The 26,342-nt window shown below is 40.4% G+C and overlaps 1 long non-coding RNA gene across 2 annotated transcripts in view, besides 3 other annotated features; it reads left to right on the top strand.

The window, feature by feature from the left end:
- Window positions 10,282-11,134: an enhancer, noted in NCBI's record as "OCT4-NANOG hESC enhancer chr1:96940692-96941544 (GRCh37/hg19 assembly coordinates)". NCBI's record gives its function as "activates a minimal SCP1, AML or CMV promoter by ChIP-STARR-seq in naive H9 embryonic stem cells {active_cell/tissue: H9 hESC(naive)}" and the evidence as "EXISTENCE:reporter gene assay evidence [ECO:0000049][PMID:30033119]".
- The window catches only part of LOC105378866 (uncharacterized), a 41,877-nt gene continuing 33,147 nt past the window's right edge, over window positions 17,613-26,342 (top strand). For both annotated transcript variants that reach the window (XR_947617.2, XR_947618.2), the window contains exon 1: window positions 17,613-17,687. This is a non-coding gene — a long non-coding RNA (uncharacterized LOC105378866). The remainder of the gene's footprint in view (window positions 17,688-26,342) is intronic.
- Window positions 22,639-22,933: a silencer, noted in NCBI's record as "tiled region #15484; HepG2 Repressive non-DNase unmatched - State 24:Quies". NCBI's record gives its function as "represses a minimal TATA promoter and a strong SV40 promoter by Sharpr-MPRA in HepG2 cells {active_cell/tissue: HepG2}" and the evidence as "EXISTENCE:reporter gene assay evidence [ECO:0000049][PMID:27701403]".
- Window positions 23,447-23,946: an enhancer, noted in NCBI's record as "H3K4me1 hESC enhancer chr1:96953857-96954356 (GRCh37/hg19 assembly coordinates)". NCBI's record gives its function as "activates a minimal SCP1, AML or CMV promoter by ChIP-STARR-seq in naive H9 embryonic stem cells {active_cell/tissue: H9 hESC(naive)}" and the evidence as "EXISTENCE:reporter gene assay evidence [ECO:0000049][PMID:30033119]".

Below are 26,342 nucleotides of genomic sequence, written 5' to 3' on the forward strand. Positions count from 1 at the left end.
TGGAAGGTGGGCAAGGGCTGAAGTGTGACATCTCTTCCAGAGCCGGTTATTAATATAATGAGGATTTCTAGGTCAAGTCCAGTTGAAATATTCCTGAAATATTTCCTTCTAGGAAAGGTGGCACAATACTGGTTGGCACTCTCCTGTCCTTTCTGAATGTAGATTGCAGATTAACTGGGGTAGGCACCCTAGTTTAGAGACACTGGCTGCACAGCATCAAAATTCAATAAACTGAGAACCCAAGTGAAGTAGTGTCTTTTGTACTTCCAATGTCTTTGATGAACCCTTGTCAAACTGTGTTATACCTATCTGATTCCTCATCTGTCTTCACCATTGTCCTGCACACTTCTCGAAGTCAGGGATCATAATTTATTCATATTTGTAATCCTAATCCCTAGCACAAAGCACGTCCTTGAATACGTACCCAATAAATATTGAATGAATGGATGGATGAATGAATATATTTATTCAATTCCAAAGATTCCAATTAAAAAGTTGGAATAAATGTGGGAGTAGGTCATTTACATTTAAATCTGATTGTTTTGCTAAATTTAAATCTTTATTTGCAATGTTGAATTCAGTCAAAGCAGTTTCAGTTTAGAAAGGCATTCTAATTCAATGGAATTCTTCCAGAGTTAGATGCAATTGTTTAAGTTCCTGCTTTAGATTAATGGCTTTTTGGTTTCTCATACTACATATTGCATATTGGTGTCAGCGTGCTTGCAGAGAAGTAATCCTAATGCAATTTCAACTCCCCAGGATGGAGGTTTCCTGCAAAGGGAGCTGTTGTGTAACATGTATTCCCCTATGTAGAAATATCGCTGGCAGTTACCGTGAATTGCAGGGCAGAAGCCAATGACCTGTTTTCGGTACTCGGTGTAGCTGGCTGTGGGCACTGTGATTCTTTGCTACTGCTCTCCGGAGTTCACTACACTTAAGCTCCAGATCCCTCATGGCCTATTTCGTGCTTTCTGCTCAACGAATGGATCACACATAGCCCCTAGTTCCAGGCCTTCTTTCTACACAGTTAACTTGTTTCAAAATTAAAGAAACTGAGAAGGAATAATGAATAGATTTTCCTGGAAGAAAAAACTAGATTTATTTTTCATCTCGAAGAGAATAATTTAACATGAGATTGAAGGAGACCACCTCACAGTCCAACACAGGCCCCAGTGAGTTCATGCATGTGCTTGCAAACACACACACACGTATTAGCTCTTCAACTATTGTTGTGAGTATTCATCAAGACTCAAAGTCATTCACTCACAAGATTATCTTTTTCACTGTGTCAAAAGTCTAGAGAGTGAGTTAGAAATAGCCTCATAAACAATGGCTATGTGGCTCAATGAAAAGTCACTTGTTCTCTGGTAGACAGCTTGCCACAGCAAGGCTAGGTGCAAAGGCACTAGAAAGAAGTCCCATGGGTGCTTTTTCATGCTTTTCCTGCTTTTAACTTTTAAGGATCTCATGTGGTGGGCTCTCTCAGAAGTCAACATGCAGAGAAGTAAAAGGTTCTTTATGCAGATGGACAGTCATTGAAGGAAACAGAGGTCCAAATGGAAAACAAGTGTTCCCGTGCCGCTCAGATGAGTTAAAAAGGCCAGTATTTCTCCTTCTTCTTTCCCATCCACTGAGGATTTGTACATAGGTAAATAGGCTGAGTTAGATGATGCGGTAATGTAGGAGTAGCATTGAGACTTGTTGATAAGGCGCAAGACAGAAAATGAAAACTCACAATTTTTATTTTACCAACAAAAGCCATTCTCTAACTGTGCACCTCAAAGTACAACTGCAGATGTGAATCATAGTTGAAAGTAAGAGTTAGAATTAAGGAAATGATAGCAAGATTATATGATAGCCTTAAGAAACAATTTGTTCTGTTTTGCTGATGGATGATCTGAGTTTCTCTGCAAACCTTCTGTGCTTCACAGATCACTGCAGGTAACATGCTGGAGTTGTTTCTTGGCTGTTAATACACAAGGCAGAAAATTCTAGTTGTGAGGTTTAAAAGACTCAGGTTTTCTCTTTTGTTGTTTGGATAAACAGTGTTGTGAAGGCATTTTCTCCTGCTTTTCATTTCCATGTACTTGAGCACCTGCTAAGTGGAGCATGCATTCGTTATTTTGTTTCATCCCCATTTTACAGATTAGGAAACTGAAACTCAGAGAAGTTAAATAATTTACCCAGAGTAACAGAGCTTTGTTGAGGAGATAAAAATAGATACAAGTCAAGGTTTATTTGATTCCAGAGCCTATGCTCTTAGGTCTTTTTTCAGAGCACTTACAAATAAGGTCTACACAAGCAGCAGCAGATTCAAAATCTAAAACATGTCTGATATTGATGAGGTAAATGGCAATTTCTCATCTAGACTCAGTTGAAGACTAGTCTGAGCCTAGGCTATTTCCATTATTCTGTAAAGAATTATAAAATGAATGAAATATGTGTGGGGGTCTCCCTAGTCTCAAGAAGGTATGGAGAGGGGAGAAGAGGGAGGAGAAAACATTGATAAAGCTAGAATACTCTCTCCAATTAAAGTGATATCCTACTAAGGTATCCTTGGACTCCTGTCCTAAGTGGATCCCAAGAAAACCTACGTCCTTTATTAGGAGGTAGCCTAGTATGGGAAAGAGCATGGATTTACTGACACAGACAAAAATTGCTTTACATCTCAACTTTGGTGAGAACTAAATGTATGGCTTTGGACAACTGTCTTAGTTTCTCCAAATTCCTAATCTGTAAAACAGCGATAATACCTAACTCATAGAGCTATAAAAAATAAATGAGGTAATCATAGAACCTGGTATGTAGTGGTACTCAGTAATTGTTAATTCCTTTTCTTTCATCACCCACCTAGAAGCTGACCTAAGTCCAAGCACAGAGGATGCCTTCTCCTACCCTGCACTCCCTACACTTAAGCCTATAAATTTTCCAAACAGCTGTGGGTCTCATATGCATTTTTCAGTCCAAAATCATATCTCCACCATGGTCTTAGAATTCCTACAGGATTGAAAGCCAAGTTCAATGTGTAGACTTCCACTCTCGAGTGGTATCATGTGCCCAGCTGGAGGGCATCACCTAAGCTTACAGTATTGTTTACAGTAAAACATTCTTACAATAAATATCTCACCAGGAGGCATAAATCCCAATGGTGTCTTTCTCAATGTATCTATTCCGTAAAGTGACCAATTCTCTTTTTTCCATTTCAGCTAATTTCAGTTCTTCCAATTTATAAACAAAATCCTACATTGAACAAAATCCAATCACCTTAGCAAGGTTTCATAGCTGCCTTAGAGGTTGGTTCTTTCATGGACCAGTCAATAAAATGTGCCCCAGGTCATCATGCGTCAAGCCAGCACTGGGATGACCTGGTCCAGGAGCCTTAGAGAATATGAGCTAATGTGGAAATTTAAGTTGTGTGTTAGAAACCAATAGGGCCCCAAACCTGGTCAGAAATGTATCCTTTCCTTGCTGTTACAAAGACTCTTAGGGCAGGCTTTGTGTGCCCTTCCTTCACTGCATGAGCCAGGTCTCTCAAGAGAGCCAAATATTAAGTGTGTACTTCAGAGTGAGTGCTGAAGTGCCGCTATATCTCTGAAATCCAAAAATTAGCTAAGGGATACTCAGGCAGCCTATAAGGCAATGGGCAGTGCAAGCCTCCCTCCTATATTTCTGGCTCACTAAAAAGTTATTCTAAAATAATACACTAACTCATAAGTGAATAAAGTTAAATATGACAATTCCAGACTATCATGGCAACCACAAAGTTTCAAAATGCCTCTTTAAAGGCTTATTAAATCTCTCTTCTTAATTAAGCCTTTCCTTAGAGAAGTCTGGTACCTGTATTATTTCTCTGAGCTAATACAATATTTAGGACACTTTTCTTGTAAAATCTGAACTAGCAGGGTGACCCTACACATCATCACAATTTCTCAAGGTATTTCACCTTTCAATTAACTGAGACAGATCTATCTTCATCACAGCAAGAAATTCTGCTTTTAATTGGATGTATGATTAATACAGTAGCTAAAATATGGAATTATCACCCCAGATTGTTTACATTTGCAATAACAGTTTCAACTAAATGTCTTCAGAAAATGTCAAATTGATTTCTGACATAACAAAATACATACAATGGCTAACAATGTATTCATTAATATCTTGTGTTTCCATCGTGTCATTATTGGTTCTAATAATACCTAATTGCAATAATAAATACCTAATTTGGGGGAGTTATTTATTTTATTTTCTTTTTTTTTTTTTTTATTGATCATTCTTGGGTGTTTCTCACAGAGGGGGATTTGGCAGGGTCATAGGACAATAGTGGAGGGAGGGTCAGCAGATAAACAAGTGAACAAAGGTCTCTGGTTTTCCTATGCAGAGGACCCTGCCGCCTTCCGCAGTGTTTGTGTCCCTGGGTACTTGAGGTTAGGGAGTGGTGATGACTCTTAACAAGCATGCTGCCTTCAAGCATCTGTTTAACAAAGCACATCTTGCACCACCCTTAATCCATTTAACCCTGAGTGGACACAGCACATGTTTCAGAGAGCACAGGGTTGGGGGTAGGGTCACCGATCAACAGGATCACAAGGCAGAAGAATTTTTCTTAGTACAGAACAAAATGAAGTCTCCCGCGTCTACCTCTTTCTACACAGACATGGCAACCATCCGATTTCTCAATCCTCTCCCCGCCTTTCCCCCCTTTCTATTCCACAAAACCGCCATTGTCATCATGGCCCGTTCTCAATGAGCTGTTGGGTACGCCTCCCAGACGGGGTGGTGGCTGGGCAGAGGGGCTCCTCACTTCCCAGTAGGGGCGGCCGGGCAGAGGTGCCCCTCACCTCCCAGACGGGGCAGCTGGCCGGGCGGGGGGCTGACCCCCCCACCTCCCTCCCGGACGGGGCGGCTGGCCTGGAGGGGGCTGACCCCCACCTCCCTCCCGGATGGGGGGGCTGCCGGGCAGAGACGCTCCTCACTTCCCAGACGGGGTGGCTGCCGGGCGGAGGGGCTCCTCACTTCTCATATGGGGCGGTTGCCAGGCGGAGGGTCTCCTCACTTCTCAGACGGGGGGGCAGGGCAGAGACGCTCCTCACCTCCCAGACGGGGTCGCGGCCGGGTAGAGGTGCTCCTCACATCCCAGACGGGGCGGCGGGGCAGAGGCGCTCCCCACATCTTAGACAATGGGCGGCCAGGCAGAGACACTCCTCACTTCCTAGATGGGATGGCGGCCAGGCAGAGACGCTCCTCACTTTCCACACTGGGTAGCCAGGCAGAAGGGCTCCTCACGTCCCAGACGATGGGCGGCCAGGCAGAGACACTCCTCACTTCCCAGACGGGGTGGCGGCCGGGCAGAGGCTGCAATCTTGGCACTTTGGGAGGCCAAGGCAGGCGGCTGGGAGGTGGAGGTTGTAGCGAGCCGAGATCACGCCACTGCACTCCAGCCTGGGCACCATTGAGCACTGAGTGAACCAGACTCCGTCTGCAATCCCGGCACCTCGGGAGGCCAAGGCTGGCGGATCACTCGCGGTTCAGAGCTGGAGACCAGCCCGGCCAACACAGCGAAACCCCGTCTCCACCAAAAAAATACGAAAACCAGTCAGGCGTGGTGGCGCGCGCCTGCAATCGCAGGCACTCGGCAGGCTGAGGCAGGAGAATCAGGCAGGGAGGTTGCAGTGAGCCGAGATGGCAGCAGTACAGTCCAGCTTCGGCTCGGCATCAGTGGGAGACCGTGGAAAGAGAGGGAGAGGGAGACCGTGGGGAGAGGGAGAGGGGGGAGAGGGAGAGGGAAAGGGAGAGGGAGAGGGAGAGGGAGAGCGAGAGTGAGAGCTAGAGCTAAAGCATTTATTTTCTAATTAGATATTTTTCACATTTCTATTCCATAATTATTCATGAGTAATTATTATTAGTCACAAAATAGAATTATCGTTAAGCCTGTATGAACTGAATCCAGCTTCTTATAGAAAACAAGAATTAAACTTTTCCTGCTTTATGTTCTAATTAACTTTTTTCTCTATTTTGTAGAATTGCTCTAAACAGTGTTGAAAGAAAATGTAAAGTCAAGGCTGATAACTCAAGATACTTTTATAACTATAAATTTGCTATAGGGAAGTTTAAAGAATCACATAATTGGGGTTTTGTTCTCATACCCCCACGTGGAACCAAATAAGTTTTCATCAAAAGACTCTTGTTTTGTCAGGGGTTTGCTGCTGTGTACTCATATGTTCAGGTACTCAGCCAACAGCCACAGCCACAAAGCCTTTCTGGATCTGGCCTTCAGTCTCAGCTCTTTCAGCATCTCCTTCTTACTGGCCCATATAATGCCACACCCCATCTACATAGAACGTCTACCTGTTGACAATAGGCCTTTCTACTTTCCTGCTTGTGTATATATTGTCCTTTTTTCCTGGAATGAACTCCCTTGTTTTTCAATCTCAAGGAGTCATACTTATGAATTCAAGTAACCATTTCCCCATGATATTTTCCAGAGGCTCTTATGGAAACTTTGTTCTATTCTTCATACAGTATAAATTTACCTTTACCACTATCACATATTACGCTGGACTTTATCCCATTTCTTGACTATGTCTCCCATTGAATTACAAGCCTCTGAAGGAAGCTACAGGTGTATTTTTTTTTCCTTGCCCTGGAAAGTCATGGGAATAAACACCACTTTCAAGATTTAACCAGTAAGGAGTAGGAGCCGGTAAATAAATACTTCACTCTTCCATGTCTTGGGCAGACATGACATTGTACCTGATACCCCAGAAGGTCCCCAGTGGAATGAAGCCCCAGTTGCCCATGGGAAAAATCAATTCAACCTTGATTTTCTCTCTTTCCTGTCTTTATTCTTCCCAATCCCTTATTCCTTTTTCCCTGGTGAGTCAGTTTTGTATTGCTGCTGTAACAAATTACCACAAATTCAGTGGCTTAAGACAACACAGACAGACTCTCTTACTATTCTGGAAGTCAGAAGTCCTCCATCAGTTTCACTGTATAACATCAAGGTGTCTGCAGGGCTGGTTTCTTCAGGAGACACTCAGAGAGAACCTGTTTCCTTGCCTTTGCTAGCTTCTGGAGGCCATCTGCATTCCTTGGCACATGACAGTTCCTCAAATCACTCTGTCAAAATTACAACAAATTTAGTTTAAAGATGTCAGTCAGTTTTCTTTGAGACTCTAGAATTGGGCAACATTTTATTCTTTGAAATAAAATAAGTGTCTAAATGAGTAGAACATAGGAGATTGGCTTTGTAGACCAAAAAAAAAAAAAAAAAGGTTGAAGAAAGCAGAAATAAAGAGCAAAAAGTGGATTGGTCATGTCAAACTTAACTTTCCTTATAAGGCAGGGACAACGGGAGAATGGAAAGCTAACCAATTGGTTAACCAGACTACTTTAAGTCAAGATTTGAAACCAAGGGAACTTAATTATCTTGTAGACCAAAACCAGCATTTTGGGAAATTAGGCTGTTAGATTTCTCATCTGATTTCTGGGAAGGCCAGGTGACAACTCGGATTTAGTTTGACGAGGTGGGACTCAGTATGAGTGATTTCATTTTGACTTTTAGTCTGGTCTGTTGGGGCTTAGAGTAGGAACTTAGTCCAAAACAATGACCTATAATCTTTACTGAACAATTCCAACCTCTTGCTTTAATTAACATATCTCATACTTCCTCCTTTGTCCTTCTTGCCTCCCTCTCTTTTAAAGGCCCTTGTGATTGCATTTAAAGCCCACCTAGATAACCCAGGAAAATCTTTCCACTTAGTCATACCTGGAAAGTCCCTTTTGCCATGTAAGGAAGGAGATTCTGTGCATAGCTTGATGAAGGGGTTGGTGGGGGTTGGGGGGGGTGGCAATTATTCAACCTACCACATCTAGGATCACTTTCAAAACTAGTTTACCACAAGCATGCACATATTTCAAGCTATTTGAGGGAAATCCAAGCTAAGACAGAATCCAAAGGAAATGAACTACTCAAGATGGGAGTAGTTCTTATTATTAAAGGCTACTCATCAACAAGATGTGATTTAGAAAACTGTACCAAGTTTACAATGAGAAGATCATTGGTAGACTTGATGAGAACACTTTCAAAGGGTAACTGCTAAATTGCACTGGATTCATAGTCAATTCTCAGTTACCCAAACATACAAAGGCAAAGAAGGTTCAATATCAGTCTATGCTTTTCCAGAAATCATGGGTATATACAGATATAAAACTAGATCTATGTCATCACAGGATGCACTAGTTATAAAGCTTAAAGTTTGTTTTTCAGGAAAGTCTTCCCTAACCTAGTTGACCTCCTTCCTGCTTACTAGGTGCTTTCAGAACTCCCCATATTTTCCCTCTCCTCAAGCACATTATCCTGTGTGATGATGTAATTAGGATCTGTCTTCCCCCAGTGACTGAAGCTCTGCCATGGTAGAAACCATGTTTTCCTGGTTCACTTTTCATCCCCAGCTTTTCACATGTTCCTACCACAGAGTAAATGCTCAAGGGATATTTATTACATAAAAGAAAGAGTCCCTAAAATCTGTAACTGTGACTAAAATGAAATGACAATTCATATGTTATTAGGCAGTGCTAGAAGAGATGGAGATCTGGCCAGAATGTCAGGTAGAGCCCTAGATTCTGCATTTCTTGTCAAGTTTCCTGGTGATGTTGATGCTTCTTGTCCTCTGACACACATTTGATGAGAATCCTAGTCCAATGGTTCTAAATCCTACATGCACATTAGAAAGCATCTTGGGAGCTTTGAAAATACTTACCAAAGTCGATCCCCATGCACAGAGAGTCTGTTTTAATTGACAGGGAGGTGGAGTTCCAGTATTAGTTTGTTGTCATTGTATTGTTTTGTTTTGTAAGATCCTTAGATTATTCTAATGAGTAGCCAAGGCTAAGAGCCACTGGTCTAGTCCAAATTCTCTTTTAACCGAGGAAAAACTGAGGTACAGAAAGAATAGGCTAAAGCCCAAGGCTAAGCAGTGAGGTCCTGGCAAAATTGGGATTAGAACCCCACACACCTCCTGACTCCCATTGCAATGCTTTCTGATGCACAATGAATTCAGGAACAATGGGGGAGACACTTTTGCATTTAGACACAGCCTCAGTGATCCCAGGGAGTGAGTCGGTGAGAGATGACTCAGATGTGAATTCCCCGCTGACTCCCATTTTCATCCCCTTGGGCAGTGTGTAGGAGAGGTATAACTGCATGAAGAGAGCATTGTCAAAGAAAATATCCTGGCTGATCTATTTTAGTTAAAACAGCTTTTTCCCCCCAGGTACTGTGAGATTGCTTGTCTGTCAGGGTGTTGGCCTTGAGCAGGAGCTGGGCACCAGGGAAGGTGTTTTCAGTGGAGGGAGAAAATAGAAATAAAAAGGAGGGCTAAGCCACAGGGTGCTGGGAGCAGAGGGAGTGAGCGCTGTCTGCTCAGCGGTGTGTTCTTCATTGCAAATATCTCTGGGCTAAAGCCGATCCTCTGCTTTCACAGCGCCAGTTGAAATTAGCATTTCTCACGTCCCAGGATTTGTCTATCGTTATTCAGAGTATCGCAGTAAACTCATCCAGTTCTTCTGAAATTGTGTTATGAGTTTATGCTCTTTTAAAAATTCAGGCTGCTCTCTGGAAGAAGCGGGTGAATCTGAATAACAAATAACATATACCAGAATCCAAATGTCAGGACCTGGGTCTGTCCCTAAAGAGCAGAGGCTAATGGCAGTGAAAAAGGGCTGCAGAGGTATCTGGGCATAGCTAAAGGATGATTCTAGGTGTCAACGGCAACAGAGTGGAAAGAGGGAGGTTCTAATGAGGGCGGTAGGAAACCAGCGGGAAAAACTGGAAAAGTAAAATTGCTGGTTATTTGTGAGAAGGAGGGTAAGTTTCCCCAGACTGATTCAAAACTCTTAACTTGAGGAAGATGGCTTGTCTCTCAAGTTAGTCATTTCTTGGCATAGTGGTAGCCACCTTGACTATGGGCATTTCAGTGAATTCCCTGTCTTTCTTGCTTAATGGTAGGTGTCATGGGTGTGCCACTTCCTGACAGATTTTGTTTACAGGATCCTCTATTCCAAAATTTTAATGTACCTGCCAATCACCCAGGGATTTTGTTGTGATGTAGATTCTGATTTACTGGGTCTGGGGTGAGGCCTGAGTTTTTACATTTCTAGAAATTTCCTCGGGTGATGCTAAAGCAGCAAGTGGTTATCTTTCTCCCGCCCTTACAGCCTTCCTCCACACTAGGCCACATGTGGGATTGGGCATGCCAGTACTGTGGTGGGGTGGTAGGGACCGCTCAGAGACATAGCTAGGGGGCACCTGGAAGGCCACAGTAGGAAGGAAGCATGCCCTGCAGGGCTTGGCTTGGCCCACACATTTCACTAAGGGACACTTCTTCCTCGGTTTTGGTCACACTTTACCCTAACATGCAGGAGACTTAATGCAATCAAAGCCCAGAAAGGAGAACATTGATCTTGTCCACAATTTTCCTTCCCACCCTCAAACACACCCACTGACCCAGAGGGCCTTCATGGTTCCCCTCAGCTTGATTAAAGGGAATCATTAAAGCCCTGGTGGTCAGTGGGTGTCTAACAAAGCTTTAGACGGTCTTCTTCAAGGCCCCCGACCTCTTTCTTAGAGCATTTACTTTAGAAACCTTGTAAATTCTTTTTCCACCCCTTTGAGATGTAAATCTTTTAAAACTCCTCTTGCCAGTTTTACAACCCAAGAATGTCTTTCTCAAAGGCCCAGGAGCCATCTCTTTCAAGTGTAAACATCAAGGGAAATATATTTGCCCCGCCCTCCCAGTTTCTGTGGGAGGATAGGAGCCCAACTTCCTAGGGTACTTGCTCCCAGTTGTAAAACTACCCCTTGCCATGAAGATATGAGAGAAAGTTTACTTTTCCTTTGGCCAAGGCAGTTAGCAAGCACAGATGGCCTAGGAATGCCCCCACACCAGCTCCTAAAAACTCAGGCTTTCTTTGAGAAGAGTTGAGTTCATGAAGACTATTCTTGTCTCTATCCCTTATTGCAGTAGCCTTTACTAATCTTCCTTGACTGTTTTGTTCCATGCAATTTTGCTTTGACAACACACAAATCACGAAATTTATTATTTGTTTATGTATGTATGTATGTATGTATGTACGTATTTTCTGGGGAAATGGAACCTCAGAGAAGGCAAATGGCTTGTCTACTTGTTCCAGTTCGTTGGGCATTGGTGACAGATCTTTAATTATGTGTACTTTTCCCCCTCCATTCTGTTCTCAAGACTGGAGGCAAAGTGTCCTGACAATGAAGTCTCTTCACTATTCAATGGAAACAGAGAAAGACAGTGTAACTCAAGGAGTTTATGTTAAAATCTGAACTATATATACTACATAGCATATGTATTCAAATCAAGAGACAATAAAATGACCAACACAATTTCTTTAATTTTCTTTTTACTGATGACTACTTTATGCATCTTAATGTGCATTTGCTTTTTTCTGTGTTCCTAGTCATGCTTTATTACCTGGAGGAGCCCTTTAGTTTGTCTAAAGGGAACTCAGAAAATGATTCTTGGAAGAGTGCTTGGGGAAAGTGAACACTCTGGGAGATATGTCCAATTGTATGGAAAAACGTGGAGAATTTTGTCATTAGTATGTTGGAGGAAAGAGAATAAAAAAAGATGTCTGACTTAAAAGAAGAATGTTTAAGAATAAAGTAAATATCCACCTACTGATTAGAAAGACCTAAGGTGAACCATCATGTCTGATGTATCTGAAAGTAACATCTAGAAATGGTTAGGCAAAAGGGATCAAAATAACCACAGCTAATGTGCATCTGGGAAGGCAGGCATATTAATGTGGGTAGATGTATCCATACATGTGACAGCCTGTGTTGGAATGTGACAATGCCTATGTGTCCACAGTGTCTGGACAGATGACCACTGCACACATTAAGAGAGCTGTTTAATGCACTTCAAAACCAGAAACTGAAATGTCAACACACTTTCAAAAAAGATTTTTAGTGATGCAAATTGCAGATTGCCCCCTGACTTGCTCTAAGCAGAATAAACAAAGCAATAAACCCATTAGAAGGTACTTGTGAGACATTTAGGTTTTAAGAGCCTTGCTCTGTTGACTATGAAAATAGAACTAGTTTCTACTTGGAAAAGGTTTTTGTTATTCTGTTTAGTTTATATCACAGCTAACAACCTTAGTAGCTTTGAAAAAAATCATGATTATTCCCTGCTTTCCAGTAGGACCCAACAGGCAGGTAACTATTTATGAAAGGTACTATGTGTCACTTTAATGTATGCATTCATATGTAGGTTTGCTATTTGATTTGTTCTTATTTCAACCATCAGACAGTCACAGAGCCACAGCACTGATGAGGTTCAGGACACTCCCTGCAAAATACGACTATAGAAAACCAGAATATGCCACACAAAATATGCTTTTTTGGCATACGGATTATTTTGAGCTGGTTATTTTAAGAAACTGCAGACATAGGAGAAGCTTTGAGAAGTTGCCCTTTCGTAGGCAAAATTTACATCTATCAAGAAAATCTCCGTTTGTGAGTGTGTCTCCCACTCTGCACCAGCAAGTGAGGGAAGATTAAATCACTAGAGAGTCTCAGTCAATGGAAAATAAAGTCGGGGACTTCAATCTTCATAATAAACCTTACCGTTGCTTTATGGTTAACCAAGCTTTTCCCTACCTTCTTCTTTCTTTGTTTCAGGGAACATGGCATTTAAGCCTGACGTGTAAGACAATTATTTGAGATCTGGAGATGCACTCAGTTCTCTTAGTTATCTTCCACGTATAAAAGAAATATACATGTTATTAAACTTCTATTTGTTTTTCTCTTTTAAATCTGTTTCTTGTTACAGGGAGTCCCACCTACGCTCTCATGAAGGGTAGAGGAGAAAATTATTTTTTTTCCCCTACAACACCATCTCCTCTAAGCTCCATATCAAATCTGTTGCTCTTCCCAGGGAATTTCAGTCTTGCTCAAGGATTAGAAAAGCAAAGGTGTGGGTTTCCCCATCCTCTTCAGTTGGAAAGTTAAGTGGATGCCCTTCATATTTCCAGTGGAATTCACAGCAACAGGTTTAAGGGAATCCTTTTCTATTTGCTGAGCTGAATCAGACACCATGTCTAGGACCCTAGCTGTATCAGTAAATTAGTCAAAAATCATGAAAAAGAAAAAGTTGGATTAATATATTGATATAATCAATTGCTTTTGGAAACTGAAAGCACAATGTAGTCAGAGTATTGTGATGGCCTCAGTTTCACTATTTGTATCTGTAGGAGACTAACACCTAACTCACTGAATCTTTGTGGGAATAAAATAAGCTATAGGGAGAGAGCTCTTACGCAGTGCCTGGCACATGGGTAATTCAGTAAATGAAAGCAGTGAATGCAAAGTGGAATTTCAACAGCAACATTTGAAACTCATGCCAATCTGTGGCCTTGCCTTACCACACTTAAGTCTAAACTGCATTGTCCTTTGGCTTGCGTGTTTTGTAAACCTTCTTGGATTGGCTCTAGTGCAACAGTGAGATTCCAGGGTGAAAAGCTTCTAGAAGTCACACACCCTTGAGGGCAAAAAGTGTCAGTTACGATAATCATCCTTGTCAGCACAGCAGGATCCCTGTCGCACACATCTGCCTGAGTGCAGTGCTTGGGACAGCATTAGACAAGTATCATTTTGTCAATTAACCTTTTTCCATTCTTAGTTTATTAGGGCTCAGCAAATGCATTTACTAAACAGAGAGGGCTTTTACTTTTTTGACACGGTACTTGCAGCTTTGAACACAGCCTACCTGCACTTTCCCCTGACAACAGACTCAGTTGCACCTCTCTGGCATATTGGATAACCTTGTGTCACACTGCATAATAAAATCATTTTAATTTATGGAAGGCGTCGGTTTATTTAACATAAAGAGCAGTAGATGTCACGGTGTTTAACTCAGCTTTTCATATCCGATGGGTATGAGAAAGCAGTGATGTAGATGTTGCCGGTGATAGTGACTACTTACTCCGCTCTACGTTAACCCCCTCAACCCTCCTTATCGAGTCTGTGAGACAGGTGCCACGATGCACACATGTCTCAGATATACCTAATTTAAAAAGTAAAATAAACTGTAATCTCCTAGCTGTTTCTTCTGTCTTAATAAATACACTCCCCTGAAGTCTTCTAATGAATATATAATAACAGATACTGTTTTACTAGCCTTTGTGATGTGCTAAGTTATGCTAAAGATGTTGCTTTCATCATTGTTGTTTCAATCCCCACAATAACCCTCTGAGTTAGATATTATTACCTCTATTTTAAAAATGAGGAAACTATTAAAAGCGTCACAACTGGACAGGGATAAAGCCAAGATTGGAGCCAGTTGTCCTAACCATTATAACCTACACTACCTTCAATCCATGCCATGGCTTGGATCAGATCTCCCATTCTATAAAAATATAAATAGGAAAGGTTGTGATTTTTCCACTAAATAACCTGAATTTTAATTGAATGTGATATCAACTAAGAGGGAAAGCCATAGTTAATAGACTTAATTAAGAATAAATTTAAGGCGGGGGGAGGGGGGAGGGATAGCATTGGGAGATATACCTAATGCTAGGTGACGAGTTAGTGGGTGCAGCGCACCAGCATGGCACATGCATAGATATGTAACTAACCTGCACATTGTGCACATGTACCCTAAAACTTAAAGTATAATAATAATAAATTTTAAAAAAAGAATAAATTTAAATTTATACAGATTTTAAAAAAAGAATAAATTTGGTTTTACAGTACTATTTGGGAGGGAATGACAACATTGGGCATAATATTAAAATGTGTAAAATTCTTTTTTTTTTGAGACAGAGTCTCGCTCTGTCGCCCAGGCTGGAGTGCAGTGGCGCGATCTCGGCTCACTGCAAGCTCCGCCTCCCGGGTTCACGCCATTCCCCTGCCTCAGCCTCCCGAGTAGCTGGGACTACAGGCGCCCGCTACCACGCCCGGCTAATTTTTTGTATTTTTAGTAGAGACGGGGTTTCACCGTGTTAGCCAGGATGGTCTCGATCTCCTGACCTCGTGATCCGCCCGCCTCGGCCTCCCAAAGTGCTGGGATTACAGGCGTGAGCCACCGCGCCCGGCCTAAAATTCTTGAAGCACAACATACTTACTAGGGTGAGGAAATTAATTTAATTTAATTAATTTTTTTTTTTTTGAGATGGAGTCTCCCTCTGTCACCCAGGCTGGAGTGCAGTGGCACCATCTTGGCTCATTGCGACTTCCGCCTCTCAGGTTCAAGCGATTCTCCTGTCTCAGCCTCTCAAGTAGCTGGGACTACAGGTGCACATCACCACACCCGGCTAATTTTTGTATTTTTAGTAGAGATGAGGTTTTGCCATGTTGACCAGGTTGGTCTCAAACTCCTGACCTCAGGTGATCCACCTGTCTCGGCCTCCCAAAGTGCTGGGATTACAGATATGAGCCGCTGCGCCTTGCCTAAAGTTATTTTATACATATAATTAATATAAGGGGGAAAAAACTTTGAAGGTAAGCAAATAGCTACTAATTTAATCTCCTTGTTATAAAAGATGGTGTCAACTTGAAATTCTTCTCCATCTTTTCCAGCCAGAAAGCCCATATCTCTCTATATCTCCTTTCCTTTCTCCCTATTTGGAATTCCCTATCCCATTACCAACAGTCCATTCCTTTCCACTTCTATTCCATCCCTTTTCCCTGGATTGGTGCTCAGGTCACCTATCTATTGCTGTGGCCATATTTAATACTTCCTTCATACTTTCTCCCACCACTCTGTCTACCTTACCACCAGGTTTCCTCTTCCCTTTCCTACTGTCACATTTATGTCTCAAGTATCCCTATCCTCCCATTGGCAGGTAGTTACTTCTCTCATCCCCTCTCTCCATTTATACCCCTGCTGAATTAGAGCCTTAATTTGAAACTAAAATTTGGTAAAGTCTGAGAAAAAAGCATACACTGTCTTATTTTATTTTCATTTTCCTGCTTCTTAATTTTTAAAAATAAGTTAATCACTGAAAATTTGAGAAAATTAAGTAACTTATGCTGTTATTATAGAAAGAACACCAAAATGATGTTCTGTGAGATTTTGTGCTCTTTGTGGCTTCTGCAGCAACAGTTAACAAATGAATCTCCCTGTTCTAGCTGTGTTGACCTCATCAGTGATTCTGTTAAGACAAACAAGGAGTCAAATGGGAAGACATTTAATTTTGAGGTCCATAAGGAAAAAAAATGCTCAAAAACATTAATGTTTGCCAAATAGACTAAATCAGAAGGGAAATAAGGAAAGTATTTTTTATGATTAGAAAAAATATAAACCATGGAGAATAAAAGTGGAAGCTATAGGAAAGAAGTTCTTATAATCCTAGCTTTGGATGTTACTGCAAATGATTCTAATCACCAAGTTATCATTATTAGTATTATTATTGTTATTACCCATAATAAACATGTGCTGGCTGCCAACAGGATGCCAGGCTCTGCACAAGAGAGAATTAGGCTCAGTCCCTGCAGAGCAGGCTTACAACAGATTATAATTGCAATAGAAAATCATATTAATAGCAATTCAATATTTTATTAGAAAAATAATATTGTTTCCCTCCTCTCTCTGGGTTTTCTATCATCAAGTAGAATACTGACTCTGAGAATGATGTTTCCTAGACCACAAAGCTAATAAATCTCCCACTAAGAATTTCCTCTCTGTAGTTTCCCACCATCAAACACTTCTTGCTTCTGCTTTCATATGATCAAGAGGGACCATTCTACATCTGTTTGGTTTTCTACCTTTCGGATCAAGTAGATTCTCTGGTTTAGTCGAGCTGACTGATTTTACAACAGTTGCCTTAAGCAGTGATTTTCAAACTGCTGGTTGCAGCCCATTGATGAGTCTTGAAATCCATTTAGAGATTTGCACCAAGATTTTAATAAAAGTAATAGGTCATAAAAGAATAGAATAGAAAAAAAAATCCAAATATATTACATTTAGTAACAGTATTGTTTCCTGAACTTTTGTTTTACTTTTATGTGTTTGTTATGTGTATAGTTTTAGTAGGTTGTGAAATTAAAGGTACTGGGCCACAATCAAAAAAAAATTTAAAGCACTAAAGATATGAAGATATGCTTTCTGCTTAATTTGAAGTTCAGGCTACCACCCAAGCCACAACCATAGCAGACAGCGAATGCAATTTCCAAAAGAATCCAACTCTTCCTTATACTACATGTAAAATCAACCAATATTTACTATGGTTACAGTGACTTTATATCCAAGAATTAATTCTAATCTCAAATATTTATTTCTATTGCCATTATAAATACATGCAGACTCGTTAAACCCCAAGTCCCTAAGTCCTGACTATCAGTTTATAAAATACACTCAGCACATGATGTCATTTATAAAGCTACTTGTTTATTCTGTATTTTCTCTGGCTATCACAGGCCTGCCTCTCCCACACAATTTTTTGATGACCTTCACTTGGAATGGCCAGAACCAGCTAATGCAAACCCTGCTGAACCTACAGTAGAAGTTGCTCCTCTCCTCCCCGGCCTCAGTCTCCACCCACTCACAAAAGAAGGCTTTCCAGTCTCCATTCTAGGACTTAGCCTTATAACACATATTACAAGTAAAGTTCCCACTTGCCTCCAGCAGAAAAGTCACATCATGTATCACATCTTCTTGGTAAGACTGCCTTCCTTTGCTTTCGTTTTATCTTGAACTGCTATGCTTTTCCTGCAGCTATAATATTAGACCTTTTTTAAATTGTATAGGTTAAGTACTAGGTTTCTAGGCTTTTATACACTTTCCTCTGATTGTTTTAATTTAATCAAAGTAAAAACATTTGAACTGGGAGTGGGGAGAAGGATGCACGACTGAATTATCATGATAATCTTCTAGTAAAGACTCCGCGGGAGACTGAGAAGCTGGGAGAGCAAAATATGCAGCAAGTGCCATTAGGATAAAGAGGCTTGCCTGGTGATATTTCAACAAAGACAAACACAGCTTCAAAAGAGCTTTCACAGAGCCGCAACTCCACCAATGCTTCTACTTGTTCATCCTAAGCAGACTTTTCTCCTGCTCATGGAAAAGTCCCCTGAAATTTTTACATTCCCACCTCACAAAAATATCATGATGAGATGGTTGGACATAAACATAAAAGAGTTATATTTCTGCTGTGAAGAAAACTAATTATTGAGAAATTTATTTACTTACAGTGAATAAATTTACTCCCATCAACCATCCTAAAGGACATAAAGGTGGCCAGCAGTGTAAAATGCAATGCAAGGTAAGGTACTTAAGAATAGCCGGGCGCAGTGGCTCATGCCTGTAATCCCAGCACTTTGGGAGGCCGAGGCGGGCGGATCACAAAGTCAGGAGATCGAGACCATCCTGGCTGACACGGTGAAACCCCGTCTCTACTAAAAATACAAAAAATTAGCCGGGCGTGGTGGCGGGCACCTGTAGTCCCAGCTACTCGGGAGGCTGAGGCAGGAGAATGGCGTGAACCCGGGAGGCAGAGCTTGCAGTGAGCAGAGATTGCGCCACTGCACTCCAGCCTGGGTGACAGAGCGAGACTCCATCTCAAAAAAAAAAAAAAAAGAATAGAACAGAAGCAGAGAGATAGATGCTTTCAGTCACTCGTGTTGAGCAAATTATAGCAATTGAATATTATATTTGAATGTAAATTTTCTGACAACTACGGAAACCCAAAAATCATCTGAATACCTATAATCTTCCCTGGAATTGAGCCCAAGCGGAAATGTACCATACGGTCCATGTTTAAGGGGCACTCAGTGTGGCCTGGGCGTAAGGTCACCTGGTTCTACTCATGACCCTGCCTCTAATTTACTGTGTTGCCCTTGATAAGTAGTTTCACCTTTAAATTATTTATCTAGGTGATGGGACAATAGAGAAGAAGCTTGGGACTAGAGAATTACAGAGGTCCTGTTAAGTATCAAAAATTCTTATTGTAGGAGATGTGGATAGATTTGAAGAAGTAGGACTATTTTGAACCAAGAGCTGTATTAACCACTAAACAGTACAGAAGTTGAAAAATAGCATTTGTATAAAATTAGTCAGTTGTTCTTTTCCCATAAGGAAGTGACAGAGCCATCCTTTTATTCACAATTCTAACATCCATTGCTTAATTACAAAATATGGTACAGAATCACTCCCAGTACACAATCAGTCATAAATTCTACTTGCTCGATCTGTTGAATTTATCTAGCTGTTTCTCTCCCTATTTCAACCATGTATTGCACAGTTTCCTACCCTGTCTTCCTGTCTTCAGTTTTAGCCCCCTTACTCATTTGCCACATTGCTACCAGGGTGATTTTTAGATGATGGATGTCTTTCATAGTCTCTTCAGTGACTTCTCAGCACCAGCTCCCCATTTAAAGTCCCCATGACTTTGACCCCACTTACTTCTCTAGGCTTACATCTCTGCACAGTCTTCTTAAATCCTAATGCTTCATTCAGCCGTTCAAAACTACTCACAGATCCCCCATGACCCATGCCTTCATGCCATTGCACATCCTGTTTCCTCCTTGAAATATCTTTCTTTTCCCATATCACTTCCCCAGTTCACTTGGTAAAAGCTTCCTTATCTTTTGAGAATCTATTAAATTGTTGCATTTTCTATGAAACATAGAAGTTAACTGGCATTCTCTCTAGAATTTTAATGAGTCTTTCCTCTTTGCCTCACTATTCCTTGCACAAGTTCTATCATAGCACTCATGACATGTTATTGTTTATATGTCTGTTTTTCTTCCTCAATCTTTGTCACCAGAAGGCATAAAACAATTACTATTTTTATAATTGGCACTTAAGGAATGTTTGTGGAATAAATGAATATTGGAAGGTTGAGTATTCTCCCTAATTTCTAACCTTAAAAAATTCAAACAGAATTCTTATTTGTCTTTTCTCTATTATTCATTATTTCAGTCTATCCCCATACTGACTCCTCTCATCATAGCATCTTTGGTGCCCCTCACCCATCTCACTGGTGGTGTTATCCAGGATGTCCTATTTAATTCAATAACTTACTTCCCCTCACCTTCTTTTGACTTATTTTTTATCTGACTCATCCATATTCTGTAGTCCTACTTTGTATGTTTCTCACCTGACAGATTTCTCTTAACAATTTTTTATGTGTCTGTTAAATACTTTGCTCATTTCTAGCACTCCACAAATACTAAATGTACCTGTTAAAAAGCAACGATGTCTGCTAAATCGATATCTAGAGGTACCTTCTTAACAAAACAAAACAAAAGCAGTATAATATAATAGTTAACAAAGACAATACAGCACAGCAGATTGGTTAATGGGCAAGGCTCTGCAGTCAGACAGTCCAGGGTTTGAGTTCTGCTTCCAGCCCGAATTCATTAGGTGACTGACCTTCGGCAAGTTGCTTAATTTCTGAACTGGATTGTTCTTCTGTGAAAGAGGATAATCATGTCTACTTGTTTGCATGATTTTGAGTACTAAGCAAAATTATTCAGCTGAATGTGTAGCCAAGAGCAAGGGCAAATAATTAATAAATGATGGCTGTTATTATTATAGATTACTGATTATTGTTATCGATTGTTATTATTGATTCAATGCACCACTGCTGCTACACTGAAAAGTATATGGAGACAGTTTTCCCTTTGGGTTTGGGGTGTGGGCCAAAGTGTGCTTATGAAACTGGTTTTCATTTTTTATACAGTCAGTCATGCACGACATAACTATGTTTGAGTCAATGAGGGGCCACATATAAAACAGTGGTCCCATAAGATTATAATGGAGCTGAAAAAGTCTGATTGCTTGGTGATGTCATAGTCGTCATAATGTCGTAGTGCAACACATTACTCACATGTTTGCGGCGATGCTGATGTAAACAAACCTTCTGAACTGCCAGTCATATAAAAGTCTAGCACATACAATTATATAGAATACATGATAATAATGAAAGTAAACAGCTATGTTACTGGTTTATGTGTTTATTGTACTATACTTTTGTCATTATTTTAGAGTGTACTCCTTTTACTGATTAAAAAAAATTAAGTGTAAAAGAGCCTCAGGTAGGTCCTTCAGGAGACATTTCAGAAGAAGGAAGGCATTGTTATGATAGGAGAGGACAGCTCTATGTGTGTTATTGCCCCTGAAAACCTTCCAGTGGGACAAGATGCGGAGGTGGAAGATAGTGATATTGATGATCTTGATTTTGTGTACTCTTAGGCTAATGTGTGTGTGTTTGTGTCTTAGCTTTTAACAAAAAAGTTTAAAAAGTAAATAAATAATTTTTAAAATAGAATAAAGCTTATAGAATAAAGATATAAAGAAGAAAATATTTTTGAAAAACTGTGCAATGTGTTTGTGTTTTAAGCTGTATTGTTGTAAAAGAGTAAAAAGTTTATAAAATTAAAAAGTTGCAGTAAGCTAAAGTTAATTCATTATTGAAGAAATAAAAATATTGTTTTACAAATTTAGTGCAGCCTAACTACACATGTGTAGAAAGTCTATAGTAGTGTGCAGAAATGTCCTAGACCTTCACATTCACTCACCACTCACTCATTGACTCATCCAGAGTAACTTCCAGTCCTACTAACTCCATTCATGGTAAATGCCCTATACAAGCATGCCATTTTTTAGTGGGTTTTTTTTTTTTTTTTTTTTTGAGACAGAGTCTCCCTCTGTCACCCAGGCTGGAGTGCAATGGTGCAATCTCAGCTCAGGGCAACCTCCGCCTCTCAGGTTCAAAGCGATTCTCCTGCTTCAGCCTCCAGAGTAGCTGGGGTTACAGCTACTCTTACTGTACTTTTTCTATGTTTTTATGTGTTTGGATACTCAAATACTTACTGTTTTGTTACAACTGCCTGCAGTGTTCAGTACAGTAAGGTGCTGTACTGTACAGGTTTGTAGCCTAGGAGAAATAGGCTGTACCATACAGCCGAGGTGTGTGTAGGCTATACCATGTAGGTTTCTGTTACTGCACTCCATGATGTTTGCAGAATGACAAAATTGCCTAACGACACATTTCTTAGATGGCATCCATGTCGCTGATGTATGACTATTAAGATAAGAGGCTCACTGAGAATCTTCGCTGTTGGTCTGTTTTTTAGCAAGGGTTTATGCCAATAGATGATCATTCTGCAGAATTCCACTTGGAATCCATACTGACTCCAACCCCAAATCAGAAGCCCCGGTATAACACTTAGCCTCAAAAGCCAAGCTATGAAAAGACCATGGGCAAACTGGAAAGCAGCAGCAGCATTTCTGGTGTCATTGTCATTGCAGTTGTTGTTTTTATTATTATTCTCCTTTTTTTCCAATAAAAAGCTGAGAATCACTAAATAAAAAAAAAGACTCTGTAGCCTCAATAATGTGATAAATGCCATTTGCACAGTCTTACTGTCGACCCAGGTAACAGCTTGTGACTTTGTCTTGGACAAAGGAAATCACTCTCTTTGATGAACACTTTGGGATGATTTCAGCTTCCAATATTCTCTTCCTCTTAGACAGCTACTGTAACAAAAGCCTGTAGGGAGAGCTAAAGCTTCGCCTGTTTACAATACCCACACACTGGCTCTCTATTTTAATTTTAAAAAACAAACTCAGAGCTCAAATCACTCTCATATTTAATATTTTGCCTTAAAATAGCTGTCTATTTTATTTTGCTTTTTAAATTAAAACGGCTTTATATGACAGGCAGCAGAAAAGAGAGAGACTGAAATGGTGATTCAGGAAGGAGTGGCTTTAACAACAGAAGCTCATTTGTTCCCCTTTTGAGGAAAAGAATGTGGTAACAGCTATGGCATTGTTGTTTCTGGCATGCCAGCTATAGCCCAGAACAGGACTACATGCCATTAATTTCAATAATTCCTGTATGTTTTTGAGGAAACACACACACACATACACACACACTCACGCACTGTCTTACTTTAAATAAATTCTACAATAAGCCACCTGTTCATTAAATATGATTACACAAATGTGATTTAAAATACTTACTGAGTTTTCCCTTGAATTCTCTTTTTAAAGAGAAATTGGAAGTCACCTGTAGATTCCAGACCATGTTGTTACCCCTTTATGGCTTCTTTCCAAACTCAAAATCAGTGGCACAATTGCCAGCCTGGGTTCAAGCCTTCCCTACCTTCTGAATAAGTTACCAACCAGTGAAACAGTACACAAAAGCACCTGCAAATCACATAACTTGGTCAATCACTTCAAAACCTCTCTCTGGCTTTTTGCAGGCTGGGCTTCACGTTGCCTGGCGCAGCATGCTGGTTGTGTTCAGCCATTATGCAATGATGTTCTATGTTGCCAGTAAACCATGGCTTTATGCCACCGTTCAGTATAGCAGCTCCATTTAGCTTCATTTATTGGATTTTTAAATCCTCTTATACAGTAGGTGTTGATCTCTCCTGAAGTTGTGATTACAGCTCTAACTATTGACACTTCGATCACAGCCAATCCCTCCATTCTTTGCCCTCGTGCTGACATGAAATGGTAGTTCTTCCAACTCTGTAGTCTCTGATTCTTCAGCCCCCACCCCACACACTTGGCCACACGAACATAATAAGGAGTACATATATGCTGATTACTTCATTCTCTTAGCAATTTGGAATCCTTACATTGCCTTCTCTTGCTGTGTTGCTTCTCTACAGAGACGGGAACTGTGGCGCTAAGTCTGACCACACACAGGGCTCTAGGATCCATTTACATCTAAAATGCTGCCTCTTTTCCATTCAAAAATTTGGTTTCTGACATTATCCACCTGGAATGTTGTCTACTAAGTTATTGAAATAATTGTGAGTGAGCACTTGTTTAGAAGAGATTCTACCTTTCTGTTTGTTGTCTAGTCTCAGGGATAAGATTTGCTGGATTTGCAAATTCCAGCACTTTGAGTGTAATGGGAACGAACTGACACTGAAAATCACAACGTCCAAGTTTGAATATCAGTTTAGCAATCAGTTAACTGTGTGATGAGTAAGTCACTCAACTTCTCTGAGCCTCAGCTACCTCATTTGTAAAATGAGAACTCAACTTTCTTCATAGCCTTATTGTGAGGCTTTAAATGAGAAAATATGTGTGGAAGTATCTGACACAGAGCAGATTGTCAGTTAGTTTTTATTTCATTTTCAGTTTTGCCCTTTGCTCTCTCAGGTTCACTAGACCAATTGTTGCCCATGAAAGACGAGACAATCATTCTGTCATATTTCTTCACCTTAGTGTAGGTCAGATTAAGGAGTCTGATCTTATCATGCTGCTAGTCTGACTTGTGTTACCCCTACTGGTCTTGTCTTGGTGCCTGGAATTCTCCTAGAATATACTCCCGTTAGTGGAAGCAATGATTCAGTGATAATGAACCCTGATGGATGTTTAACCTCTTACTTAGCTAATTAAGGAACTTTCAGCTCTAACATATATTTACATTGGTCTTAAAATATACTACTCCATTCGCAGGTTCTAATTCTTAGGAAAAAGAAAAGAGAAAAATATATATATATACTGCTCCAAGTAGGTCCAGGATATATGTAGAACAATCCTATAGAATTCTTACTGAAGAAATATATAAACCTTGTATATAAGCATTCTATACCTTTGGCAAAGGAAGAACTATTTAATGTAACATAATTTATAGAAAAAAATACCTAGAAGGCTACAAGTAGATGGGGCAGCTCCATTCCCTTTTGACAGTTAAGTAGATAATTGTCTTTTGGTTTGAAAGGACTAAATCAGTAGAGGACAATTCATATACTAATTGTACAAAGCACTAAGTTTGCTGTTGCTTTCTTCTTGCTTTTGAAATGTGGAAAAGACAAACAAGGAACCATTAAGAGAGACAGAGAACCCATAAGAAATTAGGTAACTGATTGTCAAAGTTCCTTGCTGTGACTTTCCTAGACACGAAAGCTGAAGTCTCATGAAAAGCAATTTATAGGCCAGGAGTGGTGGCTCACACCTATAATCCCAGCACTTTAGGAGGCCGAGGCAGGAGGATCATTTGAGGTCTGGAGTTCGAGACCACCCTGACTAACGTGGTGAAACCCTGTCTCTACTAAAAACACAAAAACATTAGCCAGGCATGGTGGTGCATGAGGATGAGGCAGGAGAATTTCTTGAACCCAGGGGGTGGAGGTTGCAGTGAGCCGAGATTGCGCCACTGCACTCCACCCGGGGCAACAGAGTGAGACTGTCTCAAAAAAAAAAAAAAAAAAAAAAGGATTTTATAAAGTATTAATGTTTATTATATAAGAGATTGGGGAATTATGTGTGGGGTGCTCAGTGTCTGAATGGTGAAATGCCTAAGAGATTCTGATATCAAATTAAACAAGTGGCTGTATTACAGGACCTTGAAGAATCTTTAATATGCTATTGTATGTTGTGGAACATCAAGAACTCAACTAAGTGTTCTGGTTTTACAAATGTAATTCTCCTCAGAACTTGTTTTTCAGAGAGCATATCAAAGGACTAGCATTCAATGAATACTTTCTGCTTTGAGAGACTCTGCCATAATGTGAAAGTCCGATCAATAGTGGCCAAGAGAAAGATTTTCTATACAAAACTAGCCTAAATTACCGCACTTCATAAGATTCAGGATATCTTTTATCCAAGATAGAAGCAAAGGTAAGCTCTAAAAAACAAAAAACAAAAAACAAAAAAAATCCAGGCCATGCATGCTGGCTCACGCCTGTAATCCCAGCATTTTGGGAGGCCGAGGCAGGTGGGTCACCTGAGGTCAGGAGTTCAAGACCAGCCTGGCCAACATGGTGAAATCCCATCTTTATTAAAAATATAAAAATTAGCCTCATATGGTAGTGGGCTCCTGTAATCCCCTCAGGAGGTTGAGGCTGGAGAATCACTTAAACCCAGGAAGTGGAGGTTGCAGTGAGCCGAGATCATGCCATTGCACTCCAGTTTGGGCAACAGAGTGAGACTCTACCTCAAATAACAATAAAAAAAGGAATCCAAAGTATCAAAATCTAGAGTCACTGTTAATGTATTTGGTGCTTGGTACTAATTTAGTGATTATAAGGGCCCAACAAAAAGACCCATAGTTAAAGTACTAGAGCAGATTTCACAAGATCAGCATTCTGGCCAAAGACCTGTTCCAACCAGCCACCAAATTATAACCATAGGCATGCCAATTAACAGCTCTATGTCTTAATTCCCTTATCTATAAGATGAAGTTGAAGTTTCCAGAATCTAGATGAAGGTTAAGCACCCTTCAGTTATATCATTCATAGAATTGCATCTCAGAGTTGGGAGGCTCCTCTTAGACAGGTAATGAATCATCCAGGTAATGAATTCCTGTTGCTGTCCCCAAGAGGTGAACATCAAGCTCTATTTAGA

The sequence above is a fragment of the Homo sapiens genome, chromosome 1 (assembly GCF_000001405.40).
Source record: "Homo sapiens chromosome 1, GRCh38.p14 Primary Assembly".
Lineage (NCBI taxonomy): Eukaryota > Metazoa > Chordata > Mammalia > Primates > Hominidae > Homo > Homo sapiens.